The sequence below is a fragment of the Homo sapiens genome, chromosome 12 (genome assembly GCF_000001405.40).
Source record: "Homo sapiens chromosome 12, GRCh38.p14 Primary Assembly".
In the NCBI taxonomy this organism is placed as follows: domain Eukaryota; kingdom Metazoa; phylum Chordata; class Mammalia; order Primates; family Hominidae; genus Homo; species Homo sapiens.
In genome coordinates, this window is record NC_000012.12 from 50,264,337 (window position 1) to 50,281,925 (window position 17,589).

At 41.2% G+C, this 17,589-nt stretch overlaps 1 protein-coding gene across 8 annotated transcripts in view, besides 1 other annotated feature; it reads right to left on the reverse strand.

Annotated features, from left to right (window-relative positions):
* The window catches only part of LIMA1 (LIM domain and actin binding 1), a 107,733-nt gene that overhangs the window by 88,549 nt on the left and 1,595 nt on the right, over positions 1-17,589 (reverse strand). The gene's annotated exons all lie outside the window — the stretch shown is intronic.
* Positions 8,795-8,974: a silencer, noted in NCBI's record as "fragment chr12:50666914-50667093 (GRCh37/hg19 assembly coordinates)". NCBI's record gives its function as "represses an EF-1alpha promoter that drives an FKBP-Casp9 reporter gene in an ReSE screen in HepG2 liver carcinoma cells {active_cell/tissue: HepG2}" and the evidence as "EXISTENCE:reporter gene assay evidence [ECO:0000049][PMID:32094911]".

Here is a 17,589-nt window from a genome sequence, read left to right on the forward strand (position 1 = left end):
CATTTTAAATAGGTGAATTGTATGGTATATAATTTTTCAATAAAACTTTATAATTTTTAAACAATGGCTTGAAAATCATTAGACTCGATGACAGATGATCACTGAGGTCCCTGAGAATTCTCATGTGGCCCCCCCAGGGCTCACCTTGCCCACCCTTACCCCATGACCCTCTGGAGGCAGGACAGTAGAATGGAAATAGCAGCTGGTTCCAATTCCCATTCTAGTGTTTACCAGATGCATGGCAACCTCTCTGTACTTTACTTTCCTTCTATGTAAAAGGAAGATGATAAATCTGCCTTACGGGGTTGTTTTAAACTAAAGGAGACAATAAATGTAAAACAGTGCCCAGCACATTGCTTGAGGTCAGAGGCAGATCTTGTCAGTCTTCGCATGCTTCAGAGTCTAAGCCACATTCAATAAACATTATTCTAAAGGTTCAGATACTAGAACTCCTATTTGGGTTTAGCTTACTTTATGTGTCATATTGACTTAACAAGGTTTAGATCAATAAGGCTGTGATTAAAAATAATTCATGGCCAGGCACAGTGGCTCACACCTGTAATCCTAACACTTCGGGAGGCTGAGGTGGGAGGATCACTTGAGTCCAGAGTTCAAGATCAGCCTGGGCATGATGGTGAGACTCCATCTCTACAAAAAATTTTAATAATTAGCCGGGTGTGGTGGTGGGTGCCTGTGGTTCCAGCTACTTGACAGGCTGAAGTGGGAAGATTGCCTGAGCCTAGGAGATTGAGGCTGCAGTGAGCTGTGATGGTGCCACTGCATTCCAGCCTGGGCAACAGAGTGAGACCGTCTCAAAAAAAAAAAAAAATCAAAAATGTTACATTTGCTTCAGCTGTTTGACTTTTTAGCTTGAAAGTTGCTGTCATTATTTAAAACATGGCTGGCCAGGGTGGTGGCTCATGCCTGTAATCCCAGCACTTTGGGAGGCCAAGGTGGGCAGATCACCTGAGGTCAGGAGTTCGAGACCAGTCTGACCAACATGGAGAAACCCCATCTCTACTAAAAATACAAAATTAGCCGGGCGTGGTGGCGCATGCCTGTAATCCCAGCTACTTGGGAGGCTGAGGCAGGAGAATTGCTTGAACCAGGAAGGTGGAGGTTGCGGTGAGCCAAGATCACACCATTGCACACCAGCCTGGGCAACAAGAACAAAATTCCATCTCAAAAAAAAAAAAAATTGCTCATCACTATATAATGGAAGTAGTAACATTAGTTGAAGAGAAATTGTTTCTTTAAAATATCAATATTTTTATTTCATAATTATTAGAAAAACTACCCATTTTTTAAAATGTTTGTTTTGAGCACTTTGACCAATTATTTTCTGTAGTTTTTATTCAAAAGTCAAATTAAACACAAATCACTTTTTTAGTATAAATATAACTTAGTGAATTATAAAAAGGATAAGTCCAAATACAAGCTGGGCTTTGTAAGGTTCTTGTGCAATGTAAATTTTTTAAATCTTTAATTAGGTCAGGTGGTTTTCAAAAAAAAAACTTCAGTAGCCATGGTGGAATCCACAAACATCCTTCCCATCTCCACACAGCACCACCCTTCCTTATCCTCCTCCTTCCCATGGGGAACCTTCTTCTGCAGGTCTCAACAAGCCTACTTGTTGAGCCTACAGAGCTGCCACTTCCTTCACTGTCTAGGCTCCTCGGTCAGTGACTGGCCAGGGATGGGCCTGCTCCATATAAACAATGCTATGGAAATACACAATGTAAGAAGTAGAAGTCCCTGCCAGCTCTTGTCTGCCCTCCCCCCAAACCAATTCTACTTCTCAAAGGTAACCTCTGTCAAAGTCTGGAGCATAAACTTTCTGTTATTACCTATACAATAATAATTGCCACCACAAAGCACTATGTGTCAGTCACTGTACTAAGCACTCTACATATGTTATCTCAGTTTACCCTTGCAACAAGTCATGAGGTAGGTACCATCAGGATGCCTATTTTACAGATGAGAAAACTGAGGCACAGAGAAATTGACACACAACATGCATAAATACAAACATGTTTTAGAAATACAATGGTTTCATGTTAATGTGCTGTTCAGCAATTATTTATTTCCTCTTGAACATCTTCCCACCTCAGGGCATACAGATCTATCTCAATCTTTCAGTACCTCATAATATTTCATTCTGTAATAGTTTAAAACCTATTTAACAAGGCCCCTGTGGATGATCATGTAGGTTGCTTTTGCTTCTTCACTGTTATGAATAAGAATGGAACAAACATGCTTGTACTATTGCCTACCTGGGGCGGGGTGCATCTACGGCATAAATTCCTAGAAGGAGCATTTCTAGTTTAAAAGGCCTATGCATTAAATTTTTAAATAGATATTCTGAGATTTCCCTCAAAAAAGTCACATCCATTTATATTTGAATCTTTCTCCACATTCTTGTCAGTAATAAGCATTATTTTTATTTTTTCCAATCTGATAGATGTGTGAAAATGGTACATTATTGTTTTAGTTTTCACTCCTTTAATCATGAGTGAGGTTGAGCATATTTTCAAATATGTGTTGGCCACTCAATACATTTACTTTTTTTTTATTCTGAGACAGAGTCTCACTCTGTCACCCAGGCTGGAGTGCAGTGGCCTGATCTTGGCTCACTGCAGCCTCTGCCTCCTGGGTTCCAGTGATTCTCCTGCCTTAGCCTCCTGAGTAGCTGGGATTACCGGGGCGTGCCACCATGCCCAGCTAATTTTTTTATTTTTATTATTATTTTTTGAGACGGAGTCTAGCTCTGTCGCCCAGGCTGGAGTGCAGTTGCGCAATCTCGGCTCACTGCAAGCTCCATCTCCCGGGTTCACGCCATTCTTCTGCCTCAGCCTCCCAAGTAGCTGGGACTACAGGCATCCCCCACAATGTCCGGCTAATTTTATATGTATTTTTAGTAGAGATGGGGTTTCACCGTGTTAGCCAGGATGGTCTCGATCTGCTGACCTCGTGATCCACCTGCCTTGGCCTCCCAAAGTGCTGGGATTACAGACGTGAGCCACCGCACCCGGTCACGCCCAGCTAATTTTTGTATTTTTTTTTAGAGATAGGGTTTCACCATGTTGGCCAGGCTGGTCTCGAACTTCTGACCTCAGATGATCCACCCTCCTTGGCCTCCCAAAGTGCTGGGATTACAGGTGTGAATCACCGTGCCCCCTGGCCACATTTACTTTTTTTTTTTGAGACAGAGTCTCGCTCTGTCGCCAGGCTGGAGTGCAGTGGTGCAATTTTGGCTCACTACAACCTCCACTTCCTGGGTTCAAGCAATTCTCCTGCCTCAGCCTCCTGAGTAGTTGGGACTACAGGTGCATGCCACCACACCCAGTGAATTTTTGTATTTTTAGTAGAGGCGGGGTTTCACCATGTTGGCCAGGATGGTTTTGATCTCTTGACCTTGTGATCCACCTGCCTCGGCCTCCCAAAGTGCTGGGATTACAGGCATGAGCCACCACACCCAGCCTGCCTATTTTTTCTTTTGGTGAAGAATGAGGTCTCACTATGTTGCCCAGGCTGGCCTCAAACTCCTAGCCTCAACCTATCTCTCACTTCTGCCTCCCTAACTGCTGGGGTTACAGGTGTAAGCCACCGTGCCCGGCCACATTTATTTTTTTAACGACATTTATAAATTGTTTATTATCTCTACAACTTACTTTTTTTTAAATTATACAAGGACTTTCTGAATATCATGTGTAACTCCTTGTACAATTGGATTTGCCTCTCACAGCAGCTGTCCTTTCCTGGTGTCTGATTCTTATCCAGATCTCATTAATATTCTTTCCAAACAAAAATGCCGCTTGACTATACAGATGAGTGCCTCGTTTCTGCGGGGTTCCCTTTTGCAGGACACCCACCCCTGACTGCTCATTAATATTCTAAGCAGAGCACAACCCTGTAAGAAGCCTGACGGACACTGACAGCCCAGGCATTGAGAGAGGATCACTGCTGCTACCCTCCACCACCCAGTCTAGTGCTTTCAGATAAGGGTGGTACTCTGAGTATCAGGATCACCTATGGAATCTGAACCTCTCATATGGAGTCCAAACATGTTAATTTTTGCAGACCCAGACCCTAAACGCTCACCATCTAGACAGATAATGTCAGAATCAGGTACAAGTTTGAACCCCTTAAGCATAAGCCTGAGGATTGGTTATTGAGTACTGGCCATATGCCAGGTGCTTTACATGTTATCTCATTCCATTTGATCTTATTCACTTAATTCTTACACTGCCATGAAGCAATTATTATTATTATTATTATTATTGTAAGAGACAGGGTCTTGCTATGTTGCCCAGGCTCGTCTTGAACTCCTGGGCTCAAGCGATCCTCCCACCTTGGCCTCCCAAAGTGCTGGGATTATAGGCATGAGCCACCACACTGGGTCAGCAAATATTTATTATTCTCATTTTACAGAGGAAGAAACTAAGGCTCTAGAAATGTTCAATAACTTGCTCAAGGTCACAGAGCTAATAACTGATAGAGCTAGGATTTGAAACAATCCCACAGACCATAATGTCCATGTTCTAATGACATATTACAAACCACATCTTCCCGGTATTTAGGGGCTGTCTGGACCGGTCTTATCCTTTAAGAGTCTTGAAACTAGGAATATTAAAGGCTGGGCCAGATGCCCCAGCCTATTCCACATCTAAGCCAACTCTACCCAAGGCTCCTTTTGGCTCAAGTCTACATATTGAGTCTACCACACACTTACTGGGTAACATGAGGAAAATTACTCTAAGCCTTAGTTTCATCATCACTAAAATGTTCTCTTAGCACATTGCTAAAATAAGTACTTAATAATGATAGCAGTGGTGGTAATAAAAATACCTAACATTTATTGACCATTTACCATGTGTCAGATACTGTCTTAATTGTTTTGCATATATAACTTATTTAATCTTCACAGTAACACACTCAGAATTATTACCGACTCACTTTATGTAAGTGTATTATTGAATAATATTCAGATGAAGAAACTGAGGCCCAAAGAAGTTAAATAAATGTTAGCTCTTTTCATTTTTTAGGAGGTTGGCCTGGAAACAAAATGATCTGCAGCACGGAAAATAAACCAGAAAAGCAGTTCTAGCGTACATGATATTTCAGGGTCAGCTTATTTCTGTTAAATCACCAATAAAAAGAGAATATCTCTAATGTAATAATATCTGAGAAACTGATGGTTACTACCAGGAACACCAGATCTGATCAAAGACCTGACACCATTTCTCTGCACCATAAAGTCTAAATCGGTAAAAGTTATCTCTCTTAAGGATAAAATTTTAGGAGCGGGCGCAGTGGCTCATGCCTGTAATCTCAGCACTTTGGGAGGCCGAGGCGGGAGGATCACCTGAGGTCACAAGTTTGAGACCAGCTGACCAACATGGAGAAACCCCGTCTCTACTAAAAATACAAAAAATTAGCCGGGTGTGGTGGCACATGTCTGTAATCCCAACTACTTGGGAGGCTAAGGCAAGAGAATCGCTTGAACCTGGGAGGCGGGGGTTGCAGTGAACTGAGATCACACCATTGCACTCCAACCTGGGCAACAAGAGCAAAACTCCGTCAAATAAAAAAAAAAAAAAAAAAAAAATTTAAAAAGGCTAGGCACGGTGGCTTATGACTGTAATCTCAGCACTCTGGGAGGCCGAGGTGGGCGGATCACCTGAGGTCGGGAGTTCAAGACCAGCCTGACCAACGTGGAGAAACCCCGTCTCTACTAAAAATACAAAATTAGCCAGGTGTGGTAGCACGTGCCTGTAATTCCAGCTACTCGGGAAGGCTGAGGCAGGAGAATCTCTTGAACCCGGGTGGCAGAAGTTGCGATGAGCCGAGATCGCGCCATTGTACTCTAGCCTGGGCAACAAGAGTGAAACTCTGTCAAAAAAAAAAAAAAAAAAAAAAAAAAGGGATAAAATTTTAGGTGTTATCAACGCATCAACACCTCTGTAAGAACTCTAAGTTGGGCCAGGCACAGTGGCTCACGCCTGTAATCCCAGCACTCTGGGAGACCAAGGAGGATAGATTGCTTGAGTTCAGGAGTTCAAGACCAGCCTGGGAAAAATGGCAAAACCCCATCTCTACAAAAAGTACAAACAAATAAGTTAGCCAGGTGTGGTGGCTTGAGCCTGTAATCCCAGCTACTCAGAAGGCTGAGGTGGGAGGATTGCTTCAGCCTTGGAGGTGGAGGTTGCAGTGAATCCAGATCACGCCACTGCACTCCAGCCTGGGCAACAGAGTGAGACCTTATCTCAAAAAAAAAAAAAAAAAAAAAAAAAGAACTCTATGTTGAAGAGAACATAACTATAACCTTCCCACAGGGCTTCTATTACCTTATTCATTTGTGTGAATATCTTATCTTCTTGTGCTTATGAACCCCAAATTAGTTTTTTACATAATTGTGGTAATCTTCACATATCTTATTTAGACAGGTAAAAAAGAGTAACCCCAGTTACAGCCTTTGAAAACTGACTTTGGGCACCTGTAATCCCAGCACTTTGGGAGGCCGAGGTGGGCGGATGACGAGGTCAGGAGATCAAGACCATCCTGGCTAACACAGTGAAACCCCGTCTCTACTAAAAACACAAAAAATTAGCCGGGCGTGGTGGCGGGTGCCTATGGTCCCAATTACTCGGGAGGCTGAGGCAGGAGAATGGCATGAACCCAGGAGGCGGAGCTTGCAGTGAGCCGAGATCGTGCCACTGCACTCCAGCCTGGGCGACAGAGCGAGACTCCGTCTCAAAACAAACAAACAAACAAAAAACTGACTTTGGGCCAGGTGCTGTGGCTTACGCCTGTAATCCCAGCACTTTGGGAGGCTAAGGTGGGAGGATCACTTGAGCCCAGGAGTTTGAGGCTGCAGTGAGCCGTGACTATGCCACTGCACTCCAGCCTCGGCGACAGGGCAAGACTCTATCTTGAAAAACAAAAACAACTGACTTTGGTCTAAAATTTGTAGGTCATGAAGAACCACCCAAGAACTTTCCTAATCTTTTTTTTTTCCCTTTAAATTAAAAAATTACCAGATCAAATTCAAGTCTAACTCCACCTCTCTCCCAATTAATAAAATTTGTTATTTGCTCATTTGGTTCTTTCCCTCCCCGTCCCAGCTGATCATTAACTTATTCTAAGGGCAAACATAATCCAACGAAGTGAGGTTTTCTTATTTTTCCAGTAGTTTTTTTTCACACATAGTAAGAAAAATCTCTTTCAGTAAGTAGAAAAACAGATCATTAAGTCACTAGCTTCAAATTTAAGGTAAAGAGTAGAGAAAAACATAGCTAATTAGAAAAAGAATGTGGAAATTTACAATTGACCAAGACCATCACGACAAAGCACAGACTTCCTCTGAACAGCATATTTCTCCTTTAACCTTTGTACCTTTCCATACTTTAACATCAGATGTACTGAATACCAGTGCCTGGAACATGTAGGGGCTCAATAAATATCTGTTATATGAATGAAAAACAGTGTTACACTAGTACTGAATTGCCACACATCTCAGCAAAGGCCCACCTACATAACTGAAAATCTGCCGAGAAACTACATGCTCATAAGTCTTGCCAATTACATGCTTAATTAAGGCAAAATAGTTCATTAAGGAGCCTTCTTTACAATCTCAAAGCAAAAGAAACACATACGCTTATTTTAGGAAGGCTCCTTCTGTTAAAGATATAACCTTCTTAAAGCAGCCCTTTGTCCTTAATAACTAATCAAGTTTTCTCCAAATACAGGGCTTCTTAGTTTCACTTCTGGACATTTCCAGGAAGGGCCTGGCTTCCATTCTTATCTGAAATTTTAGATGATGTGCTGTTTTTCAGGACTTGCTCAATCTGAAGAGTCAGTTCAGATCAGTTTAACCAATACCTTCAAGCAGGAGAATTAAAATGGATTTACTAAAAAGTGACTCTTCTCTAGGCAAGTTCTTTAATCCTTCCTTTCTTTAAAAGAGAAGCTGGCCGGGCACGGTGGCTCATTCCTATAATCCCAGCACTTTGGGAGACCGAGGCGGGCGGATCACCTGAGGTCGGGAGTTCGAGATCAGCCTGACCAACATGGAGAAACGCCGTCTGTACCAAAAATACAAAAAAATTAGCCAGGCATGGTGGTGCATGCCTGTAATTCCAGCTACTCGGGAGGCTGAGGCAGGAGAATTGCTTGAACCCGGGAGGTGGAGGTTGCAGTGAGCCGAGCTCGTGCCATTGCATTCCAGCCTGGGCAACAAGAGCGAAACTCCGTCTCAAAAAAAAAAAAAAAAAATCTGAGCAGCTACCACGTAACAATGCCTTAATAAAGGACAAGCATCACTGAGGCTGATCACATAAAGATGTACCAAATCACACCGCCACACAAGTGATAAAATTTGGCTACTTATCTGGACCAGTGCTAGGTATCTTATTAAGAATTGGTTATAGGGCCGGGCGTGGTGGTTCACCCCTGTAATCCCAGCACTTTGGGAGGCCGAGGCAGGCAGATCACGAGGTCAGGAGATCGAGACCATCCTGGCTAACATGGTGAAACCCCTTCTCTACTAAAAAAAATACAAAAAATTAGCCGGGCGTTGTGGCGGGCGCCTGTAGTCCCAGCTACTCGGGAGGCTAAGGCAGGAGAATGGCGTGAACCCAGGAGGTGGAGCTTGCAGTGAGCAGAGATCACACCACTGCACTCTAGCCTGGACAACAGAGCAAGACTCTGTCTCAAAAAAAAAAAAAAAGAATTGGTTATAAACATTTTTTTTTAAGAGGGAGCCTTACTCTCTCTCCCAGGCTAATTTTTGTAATTTTAGTAGAGACGGAGTTTTGCCATGTTAGCCAGGCTGGTCTCGAACTCCTGACCTCAAGTGATCCGCCAGCCTTGGCCTCCTAAAGTGCTGGGATTACAGGCGTGAGCCACCACACCTGGCCTGGTTATAAACATATTAATGTTACTGTTTCAATTGAATTTTAATGATTAGCTTCTAAAAGCTACATTTAATTCGGGACTGTAGAAAATAGTTATTGAGAGGCATTTGCTGGGTAGTGGTCTTTCAGTTGGCAGGGGAAAGATCATCACTGTCTTTGGGCCTCAATTTCTTCATCTCAAAAACAGGTATTGATTCACACAGGATGCTTATGAGGACTAAATGAAAGGATAAAAGCAAAAGTACTTTGAAAACTGTCAGCTACTCTACAAAGCATTATTTTAAATAAAACTTCAAGCCAGCATTAAGAAAAAAAATGGAATTAAAAAAGACTAACCAATGAAAAGAAATAGAAATTAGAACTAATTCATTATAATGTCTGGTTCAACTAGATGTTAATAAGAAACCTTTTGTTTAAAGCTGTTGCTGAAAATCTTTCTAATCAGTACACTGTCTAAACAGTGTGTCTAAACAGTAACACATTTCAGAGCATGTGTTAATAGTAAGTATAATGAAAATCATTTCATTTTTTCTTGAAGATTCTAGATAGCTTTCTAATTTTTCTCCTAGAGAATGAAAACAGAAGAAAACTTCTGGTTGTTTGTGGATTCCAGTAATTGGGTTTTAGTTTTGCCACACTGGCTTTTGAAAATGTAATAGGAGTTGATAGACTAGTATAATCCAGAGTAACAATCTGGGAAGTAGATGGCTATAGTGGTAGGAAAATAGTGGCCTGGATCCTGGAAACACCTTAGAAAACTTGCACTCAGATGGAACTTAATCCTGGTTGTCACAGTATCCAAACTTTTGTCCTGCTACCTTCCGAACTCCTCAGAGACTGCTACCTGATTTGAACCCAGATGGACCGACCTCAGCTGTTGTCCAGTTAAAAAAAATACAACACTTTGGATTGCAAAACAAAACAAGACTTGTCCAAATGAAAAGTCCATCTTCAAGGCTTATTCATTCATTCAACAAATATTTATTTAGCATTTACCAAGTCTTTGGCAGTATTCCAAGTGCTGAAGATATAATGTTAAAAATGACAGACAAGGCCGAGCGCGATGGCTCACGCCTGTAATCCCAGCACTTTGAGAGGCCAAGGCAGGCGGATAATGAGGTCGAGAGATGCAGACCATCCTGGCCAACATGGTGAAATCCTGTCGCTACCAAAAATAAAAAATTTAGCTGGGTGTGGTGGCAGGTGCCTGGAGTCCCAGCTACTTGGGAGGCTGAAGCAGGAGACTCTTGAACCTGGGAGTTGGAGGTTGCAGTGAGTCAAGATCGTGCCATTCCACTCCACCCTGGGTGACAGAGTGAGGCTCCATCTCAAAAAAAAAAAAGACAGACATGGTCTCTACTCTCATGAAATTTCCATTCCACTGGAGAAGCCGGACAATTAAAGACTGTGATTAGTGGTGTGAAGGAAATACAAAAAGAGTAACTGGAGTTGTGGTAGGAACAGGGACACGAACAGCTTCTTTAGGCAGTGATCAGGGAAGGCCTCATTGAGTGAATGACATTTGAACTGAAACCTGAATGATGGGGAGAACATATGCAGCCAGCAAGGTGAAGACAATAGATGGGGGAGTTTTCCAGGTAGAGGAAAGCAAATGCAAAGGCCCTGAGGAAGGAATAATACAGCTAGGAAGTAAGTGAGAAGCATGCGATGACACAGAGATGAGTAGTAGTCAGATTAAATACGGATTAATAACAATGCTAAAGGATTTTAATTTTATTCTATGTGTGATACAAAGCCAAACATTATTATATAAAAGTGTGTTTGCAAGATCAGATATATTTCATGTACTAAATGAGTACTTTGGCCAGGTGCGGTGGCTCATGCCTATAATCCCAGCACTTTGGGAAGCTGAGGTGGGCAGATCACTTGAGGCCAGGAGTTCTAGACCAGCCTGGCCAACATGGTGAAACCCTGTCTCTACTAATAATACAAAAAAAAAACAAAATTAGCCAGGCGTGGTGGCGCGTGCCTGTAGTCCCAGCTACTCCGGAGGTCTGAGGCATGAGAATCACCTGAACCCAGGAGGTGGGGGTTGCAGTGAGCTGAGATTGCGCCATTGCACTCCAACCTGGGACAGAATGAAACTGTGTCTCAAAATAATAAAATAAAATGAGTTCTTAATTGTTTATATGTGCATAATGGCCACAAAATGAAAAGGAAGGGAAAGGTTCTCATACCTAAAAGGCTTGTAATCTTACAAGGAAGCAATAATTTATAAATAGTGACAACATTAAGTAAGGTAAGAAATGAAGCAAAAATCAAGTGTTAAGTATAAAGACTGGGGAGGCAGCCACTGATTCAAGTAGAAGAAATTAGAAAAGGCTTTTTTTTATTAAAAAAATTTAAAAAGGTAGCATTTGATTTGGGCTCTTAAGGAAAAGGATTTCAACAAGAGGGTGGGGAAGGGGAGGAGCATGAGGCTGTGGTAACTGCATGAGCAAAGGCACAGAGGCAGGAAAGAACTGGGCAGGTCCAGGAAACAGAGAATTATTGTAGGGTCACAGTGCCAGGTGGGTGGGTCGTGTTGTGGGAGATAAGCCTAAAAGAATAGGCTGTCAGAGTGGGGGTGTGGGTGTCTTGAAGAGCATGTCAGAAAGCTAGACTGAATTTACTTAGGCATTGTCTCCCCTTAAGTTTGTATATAAATCTCTTGAGGTACTTGATAAACTTCAGGTTCCCAGGCCCATCCCTCAGACACACTGATCTGCAGGTCTAGGTGGGACCTGAGACTCTACCTTTTTAACCACTGCCAGGTAATTCTAACACAGGCAATTAAAGGAACCATATTTTGAAAATCAGTGCTTTTTTTTTTTATGACAACTCTGATAACTTTTCTGCAAGGGAAAAACTGAAGCCAACTCTAAGGATTACTCAAGGACTCAAGGACTCTGGCAAAAAACTAAAAGGGGAATCTGAATTAGAAGACTGATTAAAGAACTCTTATCACCCCTGGGGCAGAATCAGCCAAACTTGGGGATTGATCAAATGTGGGTGGAGAAAAGTATTAAAGTGGTAAGTACAACCTCAAGCTTTCTCCTTAGTGAATCTGGGTGTACGCAGATGCATGGCGTACAGGGACTATCCACATAGCCTAACAGGTAGCTGGAAATACAGATCTGGAACTCAGATATACAAAGGCATTAAACATATTGGTTTGGTACTTCAAAGTAAGTTCAATACAAATTAAAGAATTAAATATAAAGTGTAAAACGGTAAAAATCAGAAGGAAATGAAAGTGAGTATTTAACCAATCTCTGGATGGTGAAGGCCTTCTAAACATCACAGCACCAGAAGAAATCTCAAATTTAAAAATCCAGGCTGGGTGTGGTGGCTCACGCCTGTAATTGTAACACTTTGGAAGGCCGAGGCGGGCAGATTACCTGGGTCAGGAGTTCAAGACCAGCCTGGCCAATATGGAGAAACCCTGTCTCTACTAAAAATACAAAAATTAGCTAGGCGTGGTGGCATGTGCCTGTAATCCCAGCTACTTGGGAGGCTGAGGCATGAGAATCACTTGAACCCTGGAGGAGGAGGCTAGAGTGAGCCGAGATTGTGCCACTGCACTCCAGCCTGGGTGACTGAGTGACACACTGTCTCAAAAAAAAAAAAATCTATAGATAAGTAATAATATACTATATACAAAATTAAAAGGCAAACTGGTTAAATATTTGACCACAGGACAAAAAATTAATATTCTTAGAAGAGTTTATACCAATCTCAAAGAAAAACACTAAGAATGGTTCTGTATGAAGTAGAAGAAGTTGTTAAATAACTTGCCTTGGAGACGTACACCCTCTAGTCACAAAATGAGACATTTTTCACATACATTGTAGATAATCGAGTTTTGTGGCACAGGTCAGCAGGGCTTCTGTGATTTTATCTTACCAGTTTCCAAGTGTCAGTCTATGGGAGTGCCTAAAAAAATACCAATCTTTTTGACTTCTTTTTTTTTCTTTTCTTCCCCCAACCCCCACAGCAAGAACCCCATTCAATTTTTTTTTTATACTTCTATTTTCCTGAAAGTTAAAGGGCACAAACAAATTAAGCTGTCCCCAGGCTCCCCTTGCTACTCCGGTGGACACTGCCTTTACTGCATCCAGTCTTTCCTCAGGCTCTATATATCTAAAATTAGGTGAAAGGTTAGAGATGAGACAGAAAGTAATTCCAGAATGTCTAGTGAACAGTAGTAGCTCCAAAGGCATCCTTTCAGCACAGAGGTTGTCCAGTCTTGGGGATCAAAAGCCCAACCCTCTCATTTTACAGATGAGGCTCTGAGTCAATGAATCAATGACTTGTCCAAGATCACCTGATTGGTTGATGACAACATTAAGTTGGGAATCCTGACTCTCAAATAGCACCCTTTCCATTCTGCAGTACTGCTTCATTGATCACAAGCTCTGGCCCCTCAAAACAATGGGCATTTATAACACCACAATTCCAACTTCTGTATACTTTCCACTTTGTCACTCCATTCACTCTATTTGGTCTAATAAAAGCCTGTGCTTCCCCCACAAAACGCTCCAAATAAAAGAATACCAAACAAAAAACCAACATAATTAAAATGTTAACGCCCAAATAAAAATGGGAGTGGGATTAACCCAGACATAATTCACAGAAGAAACAGAAATGAATGTATGAAAAATGTTCTCTCTCACTAGCAAAGAAATACAAATTAATTCATTTCTGCCTATCAAATTAGTAAAGATTAAAAAATAATATTCGGGCCGGGCGCGGTGGCTCATGCTGTAATCCCAGCACTTTGGGAGGCCGAGGTGGGCAGATCTCCTGAGGTCAGGGGCTTGAGGTCAGCCTGATCAACAGGGTGAAACCCTGTCTCTACTAAAAAACACAAAAATTAGCCAGACGGGCTGGGCGAGGTGGCTCATGCCTGTAATCCCAGCACTTTGGGAGGCCGAGGTGGGCGGATCACAAGGTCAGGAGATTGAGACCATCCTGGCTAACACGGTGAAACCCCATCTCTACTAAAAATAAAAAAAAAAATAGCCAGGTGTGGTGGCGGGCACCTGTAGTCCCAGCTACTCAGGAGTCTGAGGCAGGAGAATGGCATGAACCCGGGACGTGGAGCTTGCAGTGAGCAGAGATCGTGCCACTGCACTCCAGCCTGGGCGACAGAGCGAGACTCCATCTCAAAAATCATCATAATAATAATATTCAATGTTACCAAGGCCGCACTAAGATGGGCACTCACAATCACTGCAGTTGAGAATGTTAATTAGTCTAATCTTTACAAAAAGCAATTTGGGAGCAGGTTTAGTATTTTTAAATTTTCACACTCCTTGACCTGGTAATTCAACCTCTGGGAATCTAACCTAAGGAAATAATGAGTCATTTGCACAAAGATTTATGCATAAATTTGTTCTCAATTGTTTTCATTTAATGTAAAACCAAAACACAAATAAATTATGCAACCTCAATATAATAAATTATTAAATAGATTACAATGGAGATTAAATATCCATTTAAATGTTTTCAAAAATTTTTGATGCTATGAAAAATAATATAAAGCAAAAAAAGCAGACACAAAACTATATCTACTGCAACAGTATGAGTTCAATTACCTTTGTGTTTATGTGAGTGTGTGTATATCAAAGAAAACAAAACCACTGAAAGGAAATATATCAAATGATAGATCTCTCTGGAACAGATTATGGAATATGGGTTATTTTGTCTTCTTTATAATTTGTTTTTTCCACATTTTCTTTTTTTCTTTTCTTTTCTTTTTTTTTTTTTGATATGGAGTCTTGCTTTGTCACCCAGGCTGGAGTGCAGTGGCATGAGCTTGGCTCTCTGCAACCTCTGCCTCCTGGGTTCAAGGGATTCTCCTGCTTCAGCCTCCTTAGTAGCTGGGACTACAGGCATGCGCCACCATGCCCAGCTAATTTTTGTATTTTTAGTAGAGATGGGGTTTCACTATGTTGGCCAGGCTGGTCTCGAACTCCTGACCTCAAGTGATCACCCGCCTCAGCCTCCCAAAGTGCTGGGATTACAGGCATGAGCCATCACACCCGGCCTGTTTTTTCCACATTTTCTATAATAAACATATATAATTTTTATTTTATAATAATATAAATATCTATAATTTTTATTTTTAAATGTGTTGGCATATATGAAAATAAAACAATTATATATACAATATGAAAGAAGTTTTTTAAAAAGATAAATTTTCAGGCCACTTACATGGAGGTGATAGTGGAAGTCATGGAAAGAAATCAGATTATAAAGGGAGAAAGTATAGTGAGAATAGGAAGCTGAGCAGGGCTATGGTGAACCCGGCATTTAAGGGGCAAAAAGACTGAGTTAATGGATCATGGGAGTAAGTGGTTAGATTAGAAAATGGAGAACCAGATAGTAGTCATGTCAAGAAAAGCAAATGAAAGGAAGAACTAGACAAGTTGTTCACTTGGTCAGTTATTGCCAAGGGGTAAGGACCGTTAGACAGAAACCACTGGATACTATGCATGGACAGACAGCTTTCCTGTAGTGCTGGAAGCCAAATTTTTGCTCAGACGCCAAAGCTGAGCAAATGTTACCTGTTTAGTAAAACTGACTATGAAATAAAAGAAGTCCCGGGGCATTAGCTTGAATTTCAGTTTATGGAGAAAAAAAAGATTGTGGAAATCTAAAACTAAGTAAAGCGGATATTGGGACTAATTTATGGGTAATGAAACAAAAATGGCAATACTTTGTGCAAGACAAAACATATTTGAAGGACTGTAAAGTTTTCCATATCATAAACTCTGTTACAGAATAATTAAGGGGGAAAATAGATCCACACTTGTTATCAGAAGTACAAAAAAGTTGCATCTTTTTTTCCCCTAAAGATGAAAGTTCTTAGTTTCAGGGTAGTAGTATTTTTTTTTTTTTTTTTTTTTTTTTTTTGAGACGGAGTCTCACTCTGTCACGCAGGCTGGAGTGCAGTGGCGCGATCTCCGCTCACTGCAAGCTCCGCCTCCCGGGTTCACGCCATTCTCCCGCCTCAGCCTCCCGAGTAGCTAGGACTACAGGCGCCTGCCACCACGCCCGGCTAATTTTGTTTTTGTATTTTTAGTAGAGACTGGGTTTCACCATGTTAGCTAGGATGGTCTCGATCTCCTGACCTCGTGATCCTCCCGCCTCGGCCTCCCAAAGTGCTGGGATTACAGGCGTGAGCCACCGCGCCCGGCCCAGGGTAGTAGTATTAAGAAATTATTTAAAAGAACATCAAAAGAATGTAAAATTTTCATGGTATCATGTTAACTTCTTATGAGTGGACACAGGAAGTCTCTAGAAAGTTTTCACGTGTCAAGAAATCATCTGACATGCTGAATAATGGATTGCTTGTTAGGTCAAACTCCATCCTTTTTATGAAAAGAGGTCTTCAGTAGCACAATAATTTGACTGAGTCTTGAGGACTCTGCACCCAGCTTCAGAATAAACTCATCAGTATGGTCCTACCTTATCATCCACCATAGACTCTCAACTCCATAATCATTAAGTAGAAACTACTTCATTTACAACCACTGGTTTGTTAGTAACCTGAAGAGGCTGTGTTAAGTAACCTCACCTGGAGATTACTGTATGCAATCTAAAATGAAGTACCTTAAGTTTCTATCAAAAAACATACAGTGAAAGACAATAGCAAACTTAAAAAACAATTGCCTTTTCTAATGGAAATTACTAACTTAGGACTCGTTATACATTTTCCTATCTGCAGAAAGGGTACAATTCTAATCTAAAAGTCATCTATCTAATAGTGTATGGAATTAAGAATGCCTGAAACTAGTTTCACTGTCAATTTAAATAATAAATTCTTCCAATTTGTGGTTAGGTGCCCTATTATGCCAAAGATGTCTAATGAACTCCCACACTCTCAATATTCTTTTGTGTCTGTGTGTGTGTCTTTGATAAATTTTTTTGGTACGAGGGCTCTAAGTTAATTGCAGTTAACTGGTGAAAAATACCAGAGAAAATATAAGAATTTGAAACCTGAAGAAACACTAGTCAAAATTATACTTAAAAACATTTTTCCCCACCCACCTATCTACCCTGTCTTCCCCACCCAAGAAAAAAAGAAAGAGAAAAACATTTTGAGGGCATCTTAGCAGGAAAAAGTATCCCCTGTCACCAAGATGTGAATTGTTTTAGCTTCTGAAGCTTTCTTTTAGAATTATTAGGTTGAAATTTAGCCCCACCTTTAACCAGAGTCTGGAACAAAGCTTGAGTGTACCAAGTTAAAGAAAGTTATACAATGAGGTAATTTTTACAAAATGGCACTCCTTTGCTAATGTTGCCAATATACTGTTCTCTTCCCAGGGACTACCTGATAACAACACTTCCCAGCCCAATACAGAACAGTGGAAACAGATCCAACTATTTACTAAATGCCACATTAACAACAGGGTCTAATCCCATTTTCCATAGGCCATAGAATTGGAGGAAGAGAGGGTAAGAAATATGAAAGTGATACAAATACATAGATTGAAGAGAATCACTCATTATTACTCAGAGGTTTTTGTTTTTAAGGAAAAGCAGAAGAGAGAATTAAAAAACAAAACAAAACACCTATATTCCCTATGCTCCTACAGTACCCTGGGCTGACCTCTAGTATAGAAATGACCTCACTAATACCATAAATTGTATGTGGATCTGTCTA